Source organism: Homo sapiens, chromosome 1 (genome assembly GCF_000001405.40).
Source record: "Homo sapiens chromosome 1, GRCh38.p14 Primary Assembly".
Classification (NCBI taxonomy): domain Eukaryota; kingdom Metazoa; phylum Chordata; class Mammalia; order Primates; family Hominidae; genus Homo; species Homo sapiens.
This window is the reverse complement of record NC_000001.11, coordinates 108,999,443-109,014,896: the sequence shown is the minus strand read 5'-3', so window position 1 is coordinate 109,014,896 and position 15,454 is coordinate 108,999,443. Positions and strand designations below refer to the sequence as shown.

At 40.7% G+C, this 15,454-nt stretch overlaps 1 protein-coding gene across 15 annotated transcripts in view; it reads left to right on the top strand.

The window, feature by feature from the left end:
* WDR47 (WD repeat domain 47) overlaps nt 1–15,454 on the top strand; it is a 71,889-nt gene that overhangs the window by 27,206 nt on the left and 29,229 nt on the right. For 5 of the 15 annotated variants that reach the window (NM_001142550.2, XM_011541029.3, XM_047449501.1 and 2 more), the window contains exons 4-7: nt 972–1,077; nt 3,179–3,981; nt 10,179–10,305; nt 12,495–12,673. In NM_001142550.2, the coding sequence (NP_001136022.1) occupies nt 972–1,077; nt 3,179–3,981; nt 10,179–10,305; nt 12,495–12,673 (1,215 nt within the window). Of the gene's footprint in view, nt 1–969; nt 1,078–3,178; nt 3,982–10,178; nt 10,306–12,494; nt 12,674–15,454 lie in introns of all 15 variants that reach the window. The other 10 variants (NM_014969.6, XM_006710460.5, XM_047449522.1 and 7 more) reach the window with 4 other exon arrangements.

Below are 15,454 nucleotides of genomic sequence, written 5' to 3'. Positions count from 1 at the left end.
AAAGAATGACTGAAGGTTCATTATTTTTTTCTTTCCAGACTTGGAAACACTTTTTCTATAAATTGCTTCAGGCAATAAAGCTTTTGATTCTTAGACAGGTTAGGTAGACTCTTTGCTATCCCTTCCCCTCTGAAAAACTCTTGTTAAAAAGCTTTAAATTGGGACCAGGTGCAGTGGCTCATACTTGTAATCCAAGCACTTTGGGAGGCTGAGGCAGGAGAATTGCTTGAAGCCAGGAATTTGAGATCAGTCTGAGCAACAAAGTGAGACCCGGTCTCTACAAAACAATTTTAAAAATTGGCCGGGTGCTGTGGCACACAGTTGTAGTCCTAGCTGCTTGGGAGGCTGAGGCAGGAGGATTGCTTGGGCCAAAGTTTGAGGCTGTAGTGAGCTGTGATCATGCCACTGTACTCCAGCTTGGGTGACAGAGCAGAAGACTCTGTCTCTAAAAAAAAAAAAGAAAAGGAAAAAAGCTTTAAGTCTCTAGTTATTTTGTAGTGTTTTAGAAATGTTCATTTTCTCCTACCCTTTCAGCCCCATTTTTTATTAGACTTTTCTCATATTTAAAAAGAAAATATTTGATTTAATCTTTCTACAATGTATATGTATTTAAAAATGTAACATACCCCATAAATATATACTATTATTTGTTAAAATTTTTTTAATAAAAAACAGGATGTAAGGTAAACAAAACATTTTGGATATAAGACTTGATTTAATATTAGGTAACATTTGATATCTTCCATAAAAATTGGATTGTTGTTTACAATTAATATTGGAAGTATAAATTCATTCTCTGAGTGTTAAATTGTGATTACTTGTGACTGAACTTCAGTTATGGCTTCAATGTGATAAGAAGCCTAGTAAATTATTTGAATAATTTTCCTAAAGCAAAAGTACTTACATAGTAACTTCTAAGTATATTTGACATCAGACATTGGAAAAATTAATGCTTCATTTTTTTCCCACAGGTTTCGTTATATTATCCTGAAGCAGAAGTTTTTAGAAGCTTTATGTGTTAACAACGCGATGTCAGCAGAAGATGAGCCCCAGCATGTAAGATTTTTATTCCTGAAGGTTTGCGCCCTAGTCTTGTTTTCAGTCATAAGTATTTTAGTCACTAAAACGAAGGATTAGCATCACAAGTTTTCAGAGTTTTTATGAGCTGGGATGGGGCAAGATCTGGTGTTTTCCAGGTGTAGTATTTTCATTCTGTAGCGCTTCTAAACTTGTTCCATGGTTTAAGCCAAGATATATAAATAGCTGGCTAGTTGAAGAGTGTGTGCATCTCTCTTGTTTAAGGTAAGTCAGCAATAGATAAAGTTTGACTTGATGACTCTTCATCATTTCTTCTTTTTTTTAAATCCCGGAAGTGGGTTGGTTATATTTATGTCCTTTTTCTCTGTCTTTTCTGTATTGTCTTTGATCCAGAGATAGTTTTTTTTTTGCTGAAATGTTTGTCTTCATGACTATTTAAATTTAATGAAATTAAATTCATTTTGATTAGTAAAGTGACTTTTAAAGATTCAGTGTAATACTAAAACCGAGAAAACTTGTATTAAGTTCTGGTAATTGTTAACTGAAGTAAAGTGTCTTAGTCCATTTGACCTGCTATAACAAAATATCATAAACTAGGGGGCTAGTAAACAATAGAAGTTTATTTCTTACAGTTCTGGTAGCTGGAAAGTCCAAGATCAAGGTACCAGCAGATTCATTGCCTGGTGAGGGCCTGTGCTCTGGTTCATGGATGGTGCCTTCTAGCTGTGTTTTCAGCTGGTTAAAGAGGCTAGCTAGCTCTCTGGGGTCTCTTATATGGGCACTAATCTAATTCACGAGGGCTGAGCATTTATGACCTAGTCACCTCCCAAAGGCCCTACTTTTCCAATACCATTACCTTGCGGGGTTAGGATTTCAACATAGGAATTTTAGGGAGGCACAAACATTCAGACTGAGGCAAAAACCAAAGGATTTTACAGTGGGGACTTTCAGATACAGATATATTTGCCAGATAATGATGTTCAAAAGTGAAAAGAACACTGGAACATGAGTTAGGAGACCTATTTTTTATTCCGTCTTTGCCACTAATCAACTGAATTACCTTGGTAAATGTGTACCCTGACTTTTCCCATATGTAAGATATGGTGGCTAGACTAGGTGAGTGCTGAAGTTCCTTACATCATTAAAAGCTTATGATTCAAAGACAATATTCACTATACAAATTATTATAATTTGTCTCTCAGCTAAGCTTCCATTTTGGTCTGTCTGGATTGTTTTGTAGTAAGTCAACTTTAGGCATTCCCTTTCTGTTTTTTTTTTTTTTTTTTGAGATGGAGTCTCACACTGTCACCCAGGCTGGAGTGCAGTGGTGCGATCTCAGCTCACTGTAACCTCTGCCTCCTGGGTTCAAGCAATTCTCCTGCCTCAGCCTCTCAAGTAGCTGGGATTACAGGTGCCCGCCACTGTGCCTGGCTAATTTTTTGTATTTTTATTAGAGACGGGGTTTCACTGTGTTGGCCAGGCTGGTCTCGAACCTCATGATCTGCCCACCTTGGCCTACCAAAGTGCTGGGATTACAGGTGTGAGCCACTGTGCTCGGCTCCCTTTTCTTGACTTTCTATCTCCACACAATTTTGCTCTAAGGTAAGTTTGGACTAACAGAGTGGCTCTTTTGCCTTTTGGGTAAGCTGGAATAATAGCAAAGTTTATAAACAATTGAACATTGGCATGCTTCAATTTTCATTTCTAGAAAAAAAATTCTTACCGTTAAAAAATTATATATTTGAGAGCTGGGCACAGTGTGGCACACCTGTGGTCCCAGCTACTTTAGAGGCTGGGGATCACTTGAGCCCAAGAGTTCAAGGCTGTAGTGCACTATATTTGTGTGTATGAATAACCCCTGCACTCCAGCGTGGGCAGCAGAGTGAGATCCTGTCTTATGCCTGAATTATAATAGAACAGTGTTTTTATAGATAAAAGTTTAATGTACTAATAAACCAAGTTTATTATTTTTATTTTAGTTGTGAAAACATTATGTTCCTATCTTGAAAGCTGTTGCATATCCTACAAATTATATGAGTATTCTGTGGCAATATAATTTATTCTTTGTACTCTTGTCGTTTTCATATTTCATAGCATGTTTTTTATAGTGATTATTTGATCATTTATATTTTTCTTACAGCTGGAATTTACCATGCAAGAAGCTGTGCAATGTTTACATGCTCTAGAAGAATACTGTCCTTCTAAAGATGACTATAGTAAGCTCTGTTTGCTTTTGACTTTGCCTCGTCTGACCAATCATGCCGAGTTTAAGGACTGGAATCCCAGCACCGCACGAGTTCACTGTTTTGAAGAGGCTTGTGTCATGGTTGCAGAATTCATCCCTGCTGATAGGAAGCTAAGTGAAGCTGGTTTTAAGGCTAGTAACAATCGTTTATTTCAGCTTGTAATGAAAGGCCTGCTTTATGAATGCTGTGTAGAATTTTGTCAGAGTAAAGCAACTGGAGAAGAAATTACAGAAAGCGAAGTGCTTCTTGGCATCGACCTCTTATGTGGTAATGGTTGTGATGATTTGGATCTGAGTTTACTGTCATGGCTTCAGAATCTTCCATCTTCTGTCTTCTCTTGTGCTTTTGAACAGAAAATGCTTAATATTCATGTTGACAAACTTCTGAAACCTACAAAAGCTGCATATGCTGATCTTTTGACTCCTCTTATCAGCAAACTCTCTCCCTATCCATCATCCCCAATGAGAAGACCTCAATCAGCTGATGCCTATATGACCCGCTCTCTGAATCCTGCTTTAGATGGCCTCACCTGTGGACTAACCAGTCATGATAAGAGAATTTCAGACCTTGGAAACAAAACTTCTCCAATGTCACACTCCTTTGCTAACTTCCATTATCCAGGGGTACAAAACCTCAGTAGAAGTCTCATGCTTGAGAATACAGAATGTCACAGTATTTACGAAGAATCCCCTGAGCGGTAAGCATTTGGTTATAAAAATTAGGAAATCTTAGGCCGGGTGCAGTGGCTTATGCCTGTAATCCCAGCACTTTGGGAGGCCGAGGTGGGTGGATCACAAGGTCAGGAGATTGAGACCATCCTGGCTAACACGGTGAAACCCTGTCTCTACTAAAAATACAAAAAATTAGCTGGGCGTGGTGGCAGGTGCCTGTAGTCCCAGCTATTCAGGAGGCTGAGGCAGGAGAATGGCGTGAACCCGGGAGGGGGAGCTTGCAGTGAGCTGAGATCACGCCATTGCACTCTGGCCTGGGCCACAGAGTGAGACTCCGACTCAAAAAAAAAAAAAAAAAAAAAATTAGGAAATCTTCAGAAGTTTGAGATAATCTAATTATAGTGTGTATATGTTTTCTTTGAGACAGGTCTGGCTCTGTCACCCAGGCTGGAGTGCAGTGGCACAATCTCCCAGGTTAAAATCAGCCCCCTGAGTAGCTGGGACTACCGGCACACACCACCATACTCAGCTAATTTTTGTATATTTGATAGAGAAGGGGTTTCACAGTGTTGCCCAGGTCTCAAACTCCTGGACTCAAGTGAAGCAATCATCCTGCCTTGGCCTCCCAAAGTTCTGGGATTACAGGTGTGAACCACCATGCCCAGGAGTGTGTATGTTTTCTTAATGTTCAGGTCCTTTTAGTTGAAAGTTAGTCGTTAATACTTTAGTAAAGGTTTAAAATTTTTGATAATTAAAATTATATGAGAAAAATCTTTATATCTTATTCTTTTGCTGGTTATAGATATAATACATGTGCTGTGAAGAAAATTTGGAAAATATAGAAGAGTAATAGTATGAGAATTAAAATCCCATACAATCTCATACTTAGATGGACCAGTCTTTTTTTCTATGAGTATGTTTTTTTGTTTTTTTGTTTTTTTTTGAGATGGAGTTTTGCTTTTGTCACTCAGGCTGGAGTGCAGTGGCACGGTCTCGGCTCACTGCAACCTCCGTCTCCCGGGTTCAAGCAATTCTCCTGCCTCAGCCTCCTGAGTAGCTGGGATTGCAAACACCCGCCACCACGCCCAACTAATTTTTGTATTTTTAGTAGAGATGAGGTTTTACCACGTTGGCCAGGCTGGTCATGAACTCCTGATCTCAGCTGATCCACCCGCCTCGGCCTCCCAAAGTGCTAGGATTACAGGTGTGAGCCATTGCGCCTGGCTATATGAATACATTTTTAAAAACTGGGAATATATTACATAGATTTTCATGTAATCTGCTTTTTCCACTTGAAAGACCATGACTATTTTCCATATTCTTAAACATTTCTTGATATCAATGATTAATCATAAATATATGCAGTATTTCATTGTATGACTATATCACAAATTTAACTCCTTATTGTAGGATACCAGGTTGTTTCTACTTTTTTTCTCCTGTACATAGTAGTGTAGTGAACAACTAGAACTTAAAACTCTAATTATTTCCACTTACTTTACTTTAGTGATTCTTATACATATGAAGGAAATAAGTGTTAAAGCCACCATTCAGTTTTTCCTTCAAACCTGGCATGGAATAATAAACTCCTGATCAACAGTTATTTATTTCAGGGTTAGGAAACTTTCTGCCTCATTTTTCCAGTAAACCCATGAGGATGTATAGATGGTTTTCTGTAACTTAGAGTTGGCGCAATGAAATATTAGTGTTGACTTCAATAAATTTATTTCATGAAAGAGATAAAAATGAAACCTTTTCACATTACATAGGATAGTTGGAGCCATTCTTTGCAGAGGAAGGAGCAGTGGGCTCAGAATTTCTGTTTCTTTTATTTTTATTTTATTTTTATTTTTTTTTTGAGATGGAGTCCCGCTCTGTCACCAGGCTGGAGTGCAGTGGCACAATCCCGGCTCACTGCAACCTCTGCCTCCCGGGTTCAAGCGATTCTCCTGCCTCAGCCTCCCGAGTAGCTGGGATTACAGGCGTGCGCCACTGCGCCCGGCCCAGAATTTCTGTTTCTAATTAGAGCAGGTGAACTGGGTGCGGTGGCTCAGGCCTGTAATCCCAGCACTTTGGGAGGCCGAGGTGGGTGGATCACTTGAGGTCAGGAATTCAAGACTAACCTGTCCAACATGATGAAACCCTGTCTCTACTAAAAATACAAAAATTAGTTGGGTGTGGTGGCACGGGCCTGTAGTCCCAGCTACTCAGGAGGCTGACGCAGGAGAATCGCTTGAACCTGGGAAGTGGAGGTTGCAGTCAGCCTAGATCGCACCACTGCACTCCAGCCTGGGCAACAGAGTGAGATTCCGTCTCAAAAAATAATAATGATTAGAGCAAGTGGAGATCCTTAGTTAAAGCATAAGAAATACAGGATGAGGCCCGGCGCGATGGCTCAAGCCTGTAATCCCAGCACTTTGGGAAGCCGAGGTGGGTGGATCACCTGAGGTCAGAAGTTTGAGACCAGCCTGGCCAATGTGGTGAAACCCCATCTCTACTAAAAATACAAAAAAATTAGCTGGTGCATGCCTATAATCCCAGCTACTTGGGAGGCCGAGGCAGGAGAATCACTTGAGCCTGGGAGGCAGAGGTGTAGTGAGCAGAGATTACACCATTGCACTCCAGCCTAGGCGACAGAGTAAGACTCCATCTCACTCCAAAAAAAAAAGAAGTATAGGATAAATGTATAGGGAAGCCTTTTCTGTTAAGTTGCTCTGAGATTATAGAGGAGAGAGTTGTGATATTTTCTTTCATGTGCTTTAGAGAGGAGAATCTAACTTCAATCAGTTAAGTGAGGGACTTCCTAAAGGGTAGGTTAACTTTTTTTTTTTCTTTTTTTTGAGATGGAGTCTTGCTCTGTTGCGCAGGCTAGAGTGCAGTGGCGTGATCTCGGCTCACTGCAACCTCTGCCTCCTGGGTTCAAGCGATTCTCCTGCCTCAGCCTCTCAAGTAGCTGGGATTACAGGCGCCCGCCACTGTGCCTGGCTAATTTTTGTATTTTTAGTAGAGCCGGGGTTTCACCATCTTGGCCAGGCTGGTCTCGAACTCCTGACCTCATGATCTGCCCACCTCGGCCTCCCAAAGTGCTGGGATTACAGGCATGAGCCACTGCACCCAGCCTGAACATAGTCTTTAAAGTCAGACATAGGTCTGAACAATAGCTTTGCCATTTATTGGCTGTGTGACCTTGGGAAAGTTATTTAATCTCTCTGAGCCTCAGTTATCTTCTCTATATAATAAAGCGTTGACTTGCAAAATGAGATAAAGCTTCTAGTAGAGTGGCAAGCATGTGATTGGTACTCAGTGAATATAAATTTCTTCCTTTCAGAGCTCATGGCTTTGGTAAGGACAGTGTGTCAAAAAGGACTACTAATGAAATGCTGTGAGAGAGTTACTGTCCTGTGGATAAAGTATAAAAATTTACTTTGGAACAAATGCACCTATTTTAAAATATATTTTAGATGTAATTTTAAAAATATTGGGACTGGTATGGTGATTCACACCTGTAATCCCAGCACTTTGGGAGGCTGAGGTGGGAGGATTGCTTGAGGCTAGGAGTTTGAGACCAGCTTGGGCAATAGAGTGAGACCCTGTCTCTATTTATTGTTTTTTTAAATGTTATATATATAGAAGCTCAACTAGACCAAGTATGCTAAGTATGCAACATGAAGAGTACTACTTGAAATACTTGAAGTCAGTATCTTTTTTTTTTTTTTTTTTGAGTATACATTTAAAATGTATTTCAGGCTGGGCATGGTGGATCACTGGAACCCAGGAGTTCAGGACTATCCTGGACATCATGTTGAAAACTTGTCTCTACAGAAAAATACAAAAATATTAGCCAAGCATGGTGGCGTGTGCCTGTAGTCACAGCTACTTGGGAGGCTGAGGTGGGAGGATCAATTGAGCCCAGGAGGTTGAGGCTGCAGTGAGCCTTGATTGCACCACTGTACTCCAGCCTGGGTGACAGCAAGATATCCTATCTCAAAAAAAAAATTTTTTTTTTCAGTGATTACTATGTGCTAACACCATGCTACAATATGATTGAACTGCTATGGTGAACAAGAAGATAAAACATGAAAGAAAGGGAGTGTGTAATATTTTAAAAGGATATCTTTCCACTTGAACAGAGACACTTAAAATGGAGAAAAATCATTTGAAATATGTAAGCTTGAAATGCATGTATTTCAGGCATGGACTGGCACTGGAATTGGAGTCTGATGACCTGAGTTCAAGTTCAAGCTCTATTTTCTAGCTATGCAATCTTAGGAAAATGACTTGTTTTTTGAGTCTGTTACCTCTTTGTGAAATGGGTCTTATAAACTGTTTCACAGGTTATTGTGCAAGTTAAATGAGATAATGCATATGGAAGTTCTGTATACGTTGCAAAATTAAATGAAATGTTACTTTTTGAAGGTTATTTTATTCTTTATACAGTTAATAGCTCTTACAAATTCTTCTTTGTGGACATAAAAGGGGACTTCCTGTGGCCATTAGTAATTCATAGCACAGTCTGGTAGCCAAAAAACTCCTCAGTCTTTTGTTTTTGAAACGGAGTCTAGCTCTTATTGCCCAGGCTGGACTGCAATGGCGCGATCTCGGCTCACCACAACCTCCGCCTCCCGGGTTCAAGTGATTCTCCTGCCTCAGCCTCTCGAGTAGCTGGGATTACAGGCATGCTCCACCATGCCGGCTAATTTTGTATTTTTAGTAGAGACGGGGTTTTTCCATGTTGGTCAGGTTCGTCTCATACTCCCGACCTCAGGTGATCTGCCACCCTCGGCCTCCCAAAGTGCTGGGATTACAGATGTGAGCCACTGTGCCCAGCCCAAAGAAAGTCTTCTAATAAAATCTCAAAAATTCTTAAAAATCTATAGAAACATATGGAGGAAATAATGTTTAGATAACAAAACTGTAAGTTTATATTTTATAAAGATAATTTAGGCATTGTATTATCCAACCTATTATTTGTATTCATCAGCCTATTTTAAGCTGAGCCACAGAGAATATAAGTGACTGTCCCAAGGCCACACAACTGATTTTATTTTTTATTTATTTTTATTTTTATTTTTTTGAGGTGGAGTCTCACTCTGTCACCAGGCTGTAGTGCAGTCGCGTGATCTCGGCTCGCTGTAACCTCTGCCTCCCTGGTTCAAGCGATTCTCTTGTCTCAGCCTCCCAAGTAGCTGGGACTACAGGCGCGTACCACGCCCAACAAATTTTTGTGTTTTTGGTAGAGACAGGTTTTCACCATGTTGGCCAGATGGTCTCGATCTCCTGACCTCGTGATCTGCCTGCCTCGGCCTCCTAAAGTGCTGGGATTACAGGCGTAAGCCACTGTGCCCGGCCCACCCAACTGATTTTAAACTGTAGTCCCTGCTCTCACTCTCCCTGCCTAATAACCTGGTACTCCTCCATTAAGACCTTCCTATTTTTTAAAACCCTTTTTGTGGTGTTAGAAGAAAGGAAAATAAAAAATCGATTTGTGTACAGTTTATAAACAGGCTAAATATTCTTTTTTTATTTTTTGAGACAAGGTCTCACTTTGTCACCCAGGCTGGAGTGCAGTGGCGTGATCTTGGCTCACTGTAACCTCTACCTCCTGGGATCAGGAGATCCTCCCACTTCAGCCTCCCAAGTAGCTGGGGACCACAGGCGCCCCACCACACCCAAATAATTTTTTATTTTATTTTATTTTATTTTTTAGAAACTAGGCTTCACCATGTTACCCAGGTTGGTCTTGAACTTCTTAGCTCAAGCGAGCTGCCTGCCTTGGCCTCCCAAAGTGCTGGGATTACAGGAGTGAGCCACCGTGCCTGGGCTATTCATTTTTTAAAATTAAAATTTCTTGGCTGAGCGTGGTGGCTCATGCCTGTAATCCCAGCACTTTGGGAGACTGGGGAGTGTGGATCGCTTGAGGTCAGGAGTTTGAGACCAGCCTGGCTAACATGGTGAAACTCCGTCTCTACTAAAAATACAAAAAATTAGGCGGGTGTGGTGGCAGGCACTTGTAATCCCAACTGCTCTGGAGGCTGAGGCAGGAGAATTGCTTGAACCTGGGAGGTAGAGGTTGCAGTGAGCGGAGATTGCGTCACTCCAGTCGGGGCTACAGAGAGAGACTCCATCTCAAAAATAATAATAATAAAATAAAATTTCTCTAACTAAAATATATTTTCCTTTACTCCCCCCTCTGCCTTTTTGTTTTTTTGCACGTTTCTGGAAGAAGTGATACACCTGTTGATGCACAGAGGCCTATCGGCAGTGAAATCTTGGGCCAGAGTTCAGTTTCAGAAAAAGAGCCTGCAAATGGAGCACAGAATCCAGGACCAGCTAAACAAGAAAAAAATGAGGTAATATTTACTAAACCTAGTGTTTTTCAGAGTTATTCTCTTTGTAAGAAGTAATAGAATTTACTTAGAATGTAAAAAGAATTTTCTGATATTTGGGAGTAGGAAATAATATACATAGATTTTCTTATTATTAGCTTATTTTCTCTCCTCTCTTCAACGAATATGTGGCTATTTAGTTGCCATTGGGTATTCTGGAGCAATTTTAACAGGTGAATTTACTAGCAATCTAAAATATTACTGGTGACATTGCATGTTTTACATGCTTTGCGACTCAAGTAATTGCGCTTACATTAAACATGGCTAGTTTACGTTTGTTTTTTTTTTTTTGAGACGGAGTCTTGTTCTGTCGCCCAGGCTGGAGTGCAGTGGTGCGATCTCGGCTCACTGCAAGCTCCGCCTCCCGGGTTTGTGCCACTCTCCTGCCTCAGCCTCCCGAGTAGCTGGGACCACAGGCGCCCGCCACCACACCTGGCTGATTTTTTTGTATTTTTAGTAGAGACGGGATTTCACCATGTTAGCCAGGATGGTCTCGATCTCCTGACCTCGTGATCCGCCCACCTCGGCCTTCCAGAGTGCTGGGATTACAGGCTTGAGCCACCGCGCCCGGCCGGCTAGTTTACATTTTTAAGAGATATGGTCTATATTTTACTAATTAGATTTAAGAATAAGAAATTAGACATTTTAAATATAGAATAAAACTTTTATCCAAATCCAGGGTTCTAGATTATTTTTCTTTGGTGTTTTTGTGAGGAAATGGTATTGTGAAATAGGGTATAAGTTTTATATAGGCTGGATATGGTGGCTCATGCCTGTAGTCCTAGCACTTTGGGAGGCCAAGACAGGTGGATCACCTGAGCTCAGGAGTTCAAGACCAGCCTAGGCAACATGGTGAAACCCCATCTCTACTAAAAATACAAAAAATCAGCCAGGCGTGGTGTCACAGCTACCTGTAGTCCCAGCTACTTGGGAGGCTGAGGCAGGAGAATCGCTTGGACCTGGGAGGCGGAGGTTGCAGTGAGCCAACATTGTACCACTGCATCCCAGCCTGGGCGACAGAGTGAGACTCTGTCTCAAACAAACAAACAGGTTTATACAGCATGCCACTTTGAAGGGGTTAAGTGGTTTTAATAAGTTGAATATGTTTTTTGTTTTCAACTAAATATTAAGAATATATTTCTTTATAGCAATGCAAGAAAAAAATTAAAATTAAAAAAAGAATGAAGTAGAAAAATTACTATTAAAAGTACATGGATATGCACCAAACAACAGAGCTTTAAAATATGATGCAAATATTGAGAGAGCTGAAGGGAGAAATAGTTTTGCAATAATAGTTGGAGACTTCAATACCCTACTTACAATAATGGATGAAACATCCAAGTAGAAGATCAATAAGGATATAGAGGACTTGAACAATACTGTAAACTGACTAGACCTGACAGACATGTATAAAACACTCCACTCAACAACAGCAGAATACGTATCCTTCTGAAGTGTACATGGAACATTTTTTTAGTACTATATGTTAGGGCTACTGGGAATTGTGCTGCGATAAACATACACTTGCAGGTGTCTTTTTGATATGATGACTTATTTTCCTTTAGGTGGATACTCAGTGGGATTGCTGGATTGAATGGTAGATCTACTTTTAGTTCTTTGAGAAATCACCATACTGTTTTTTTCCATAGAGACTGTACTAATTTATATTCCCTCCAGCAGTGTGTAAACATTCCCTTTTTACCCCATCCATTCCAACATCTATTGTTTTTTAGTGATGGCCATTCTGGCTGGGGTAAGTTGGTATCTCATTATGTTTATTAAATATTAATGCAGTCCCTCAGTATGGATATTTTTAAAGAAATGCCAGATTTGTATTAGTCTTTATCTACATTCATTTTCTCTGATCATGGCCCCCTTGTAACCATTATAATTTGTATTTTTATTTTGGGTTAGTCAGGGAACCAAGGCAACCATTCATTTCGGTCAGTCTGTTTCCGTGGAATAAAGCAAATTAACTGATCCACTTGAGTATTAAGACACATACTGTTTTTCAAAGAGCAATAGATTAAGTATTTTGTGATTGTTAAATATAGCTAATTGTATATTTTATTCAGCATTTATAAAAGGTACTGTTAAGATATATTCTGTCATAGTTTGCTCAAATATATATGTTTTTTTCTAATGTTTTTAAGCTTCGAGATTCAACAGAACAATTTCAAGAATATTATAGGCAAAGATTACGCTATCAACAGCATTTAGAACAGAAGGAGCAACAGCGGCAGATATACCAACAGATGTTGCTTGAAGGAGGCGTGAATCAGGAGGATGGTCCTGATCAGCAGCAGAATCTTACTGAACAGTTCCTTAATAGGTTGGTCTTCTAATCACTTTTTAAAATATGGAGTTATTTGAAAGCTATTTAAAACATGCAATAACTGCTACTTTCTATGTATAGTTTGACATTTTAAGGCTTTTTACGCATTTGAAGTAATGTGGAGTTACATATTGCTTTCTAGTCACAGCATTCCGAGGGCTCATCTAGTTTTGTCCTTATTCCCTAAGCAACTAGAGCAGAAGAGTGCAGAGGTTCAGTGCACTGAACAGCTGACAGCCAGGTGGATCCAGCTCTCCCAGGGTAACTGCGGATCTAGGGGAAGTCACTCTAGTTCTTTTTATCTCTTTATCTGCTGCTTTTTTTTTTTTGAGGCAAGGCTCTCACTCTGTCGCCCAGTCTGGAGTGCAGAGGCACAGTCTTGGCTCACTGCAGCTTCAACTTCCTGGGCTCAAGTGATCCTCCTGCCTCAGCCTCCTGCGTAGCTGGCGCTACAGCATATACCACCACACCCAGCTAATTTTTGTATTTTTTTTGTAGAGATAGGGTTTTGCCTTGTTGCCCAGGCTGGTCTCAAACTCCTGGCCTCAAGCGATCCGTCCACCTTGACCTCCCAAAGTGCAGGAATTACAGGCATGAGCCACTGTGCTGGCCCTTATCTACTTCTTATTTCTTCTAACCTTCTTACAAGGTTACCATGAGGATAAATAGAGTTAATCTTTGTAAAGTGCTGAGAACAGTACCTGGCACACTGTAAACACTATGTTGTTAGCTGCTATTTTTATTGTTACTAAAGTGCTTAAACCTACAGATTTTTTTTGATTTGCTGTATTAAAATTATTTTTATAATTTCCGCCAAAACAATATGAACTACATTTATTGTTTCCAATTATAGGAGAAATATATACACACACGTGTGTGTTTATTTTTTATTATTTTATTTAATTAATTAATTTATTGATTTATTCATTCTTGGGATGGAATTTTACTCTGTCACCCAGGCTGGAGTACAGTGGCGCGATCTTCGCTCACTGCAACCTCTGACTCCTGAGTTCGAGCAATTCTCCTGCCTCAGCTTCCCGAGTAGCTGGGATTATAGGCGTGTGCCACCACACCTGGCTGATTTTGTATTTTTTTAGTAGAGATGGGGTTTCATTGTGTTGGCCAGGCTAGTCTTGAACTCCTGGGCTCAAGTGATCCGCCCACTCCCAAAGTGCTGGGATTACGGGTGTGAGCCACCACACCCGGTCTTATGTATGTGTGTTTAGAATTCAATAAAATAATATATATTTAAATAAGCAATGATTGTTGGAAGATTAAGTGAATTAATATATGCAAATGTGCTTACAACAGTTCTGGCACATAGGAAGTATCCTATAAATGTTGGCTATTGTCATGATTACAATTAGGTAACTGTAATGGTGACTGTTAGCTCTTCACTTGATTCAACAATATTGGAAGTAATCTGCTTGACAACTCTGAGTGTTGTGTAAGTCAGTGAGCCTGAAATTGATCCTGTCTTCAAACCTTCACAAAGGGAGTGGTTTTTTTTGTTTTGTTTTTTGTTTGTTTGTTCTTTTTTGAGTTGGAGTCTCACTCTGTCGCCCAGGCTGGAGTGCAGTAGCGCAATCTGATCACGGCTCGCTGCAGCCTCTACTACCCCAGCTGAAGGGATTCTCCCATCTCAACGTCCCAAAGTGCTGGGATTACAGGTGTGAGCCACCACGCCTGGCCTTTTTTTTTTTTTTTTTTTTGAGACAGAGTCTAGCTCTGTCGCCCAGGCTGAAGTGCAGTGGTGCGATCTCGGCTCACTGCAACCTCCGCCTCCCAGGTTCAAGCGGTTCTCCTGCCTCAGCTCCCTGAGTAGCTGGCATTACAGGTACGCACCACTATGCCTGGCTAATTTTTGTATTTTTAGTGGAGGCGGGATTTCACCATGTTGGTCAGGCTGGTCTCGATCTCCTGACCTGGTGATCCCCCTGCCTCAGCCTCCCAAAGTGCTGGGATTACAGGTGTAAGCCACTGCGCCTGCCCTTTTTGTTTTTTAAATGGAGATAGAGTCTTGCTCTGTCATGTTAGGCTGGAGTGCAGTGGTGTGATCATAGCTCACTGTAACCTTGAACTCCTGGGCTCAAGTAGTCCTCCTGCCTCAGTCTCCCAAAGCTCTGAGATTACAGGCATGAGTCATCGTAGCCGGCTCACACAAGGATTGTTTAAACTGGTGGTCTCAAGAGTCTAAATAGGCCTCTGAACATCCAGTTTGAGTGTCATTTTCTTATCACCTCTGTTGAAGTGGGTGGCTTGTCAGAATTATTCTTATTTGATGAATTGCCATTTCTGGTTTTTGGATGTTTTCTTCATGGCCATAAAAGTCATGGATGTAATTTGAATTTCTGACCAACTTATTTTGCAGTGAGAGCAGATATCTAGCAGTGAGAAGATGAAATGGCAAAGTTCTGTGACCCTCCTCCCCAATAGTGGTTAGTGATGTACGTCCTCAGAAAAAAAGCTAAACTATTCGGGAAGGTTCATCTTTCCTTTATAGACAATCATAAATAGAATTTAAATTCTTTTTTTTTTTTTTAATTTGAGACAGGGTCTCGCTCTGTTGCCCAGTCTGGAGTGCAGTAGTGTGGTCATGGCTCACTGCAGCCTCGACCTTCTGCCTCTGGGGCTAAAGTGATCCTCCAGCCACCACAAGCAGCTAATTTTTATATTTTTTGTAGAGATGAAGTTTCACCATGTTGCCTAGACTGATCTTGAACTCCTGAGCTCAGGCAATCCTCCTGCCTCGACCTCCTAAAGTGCTGGGATTACAGG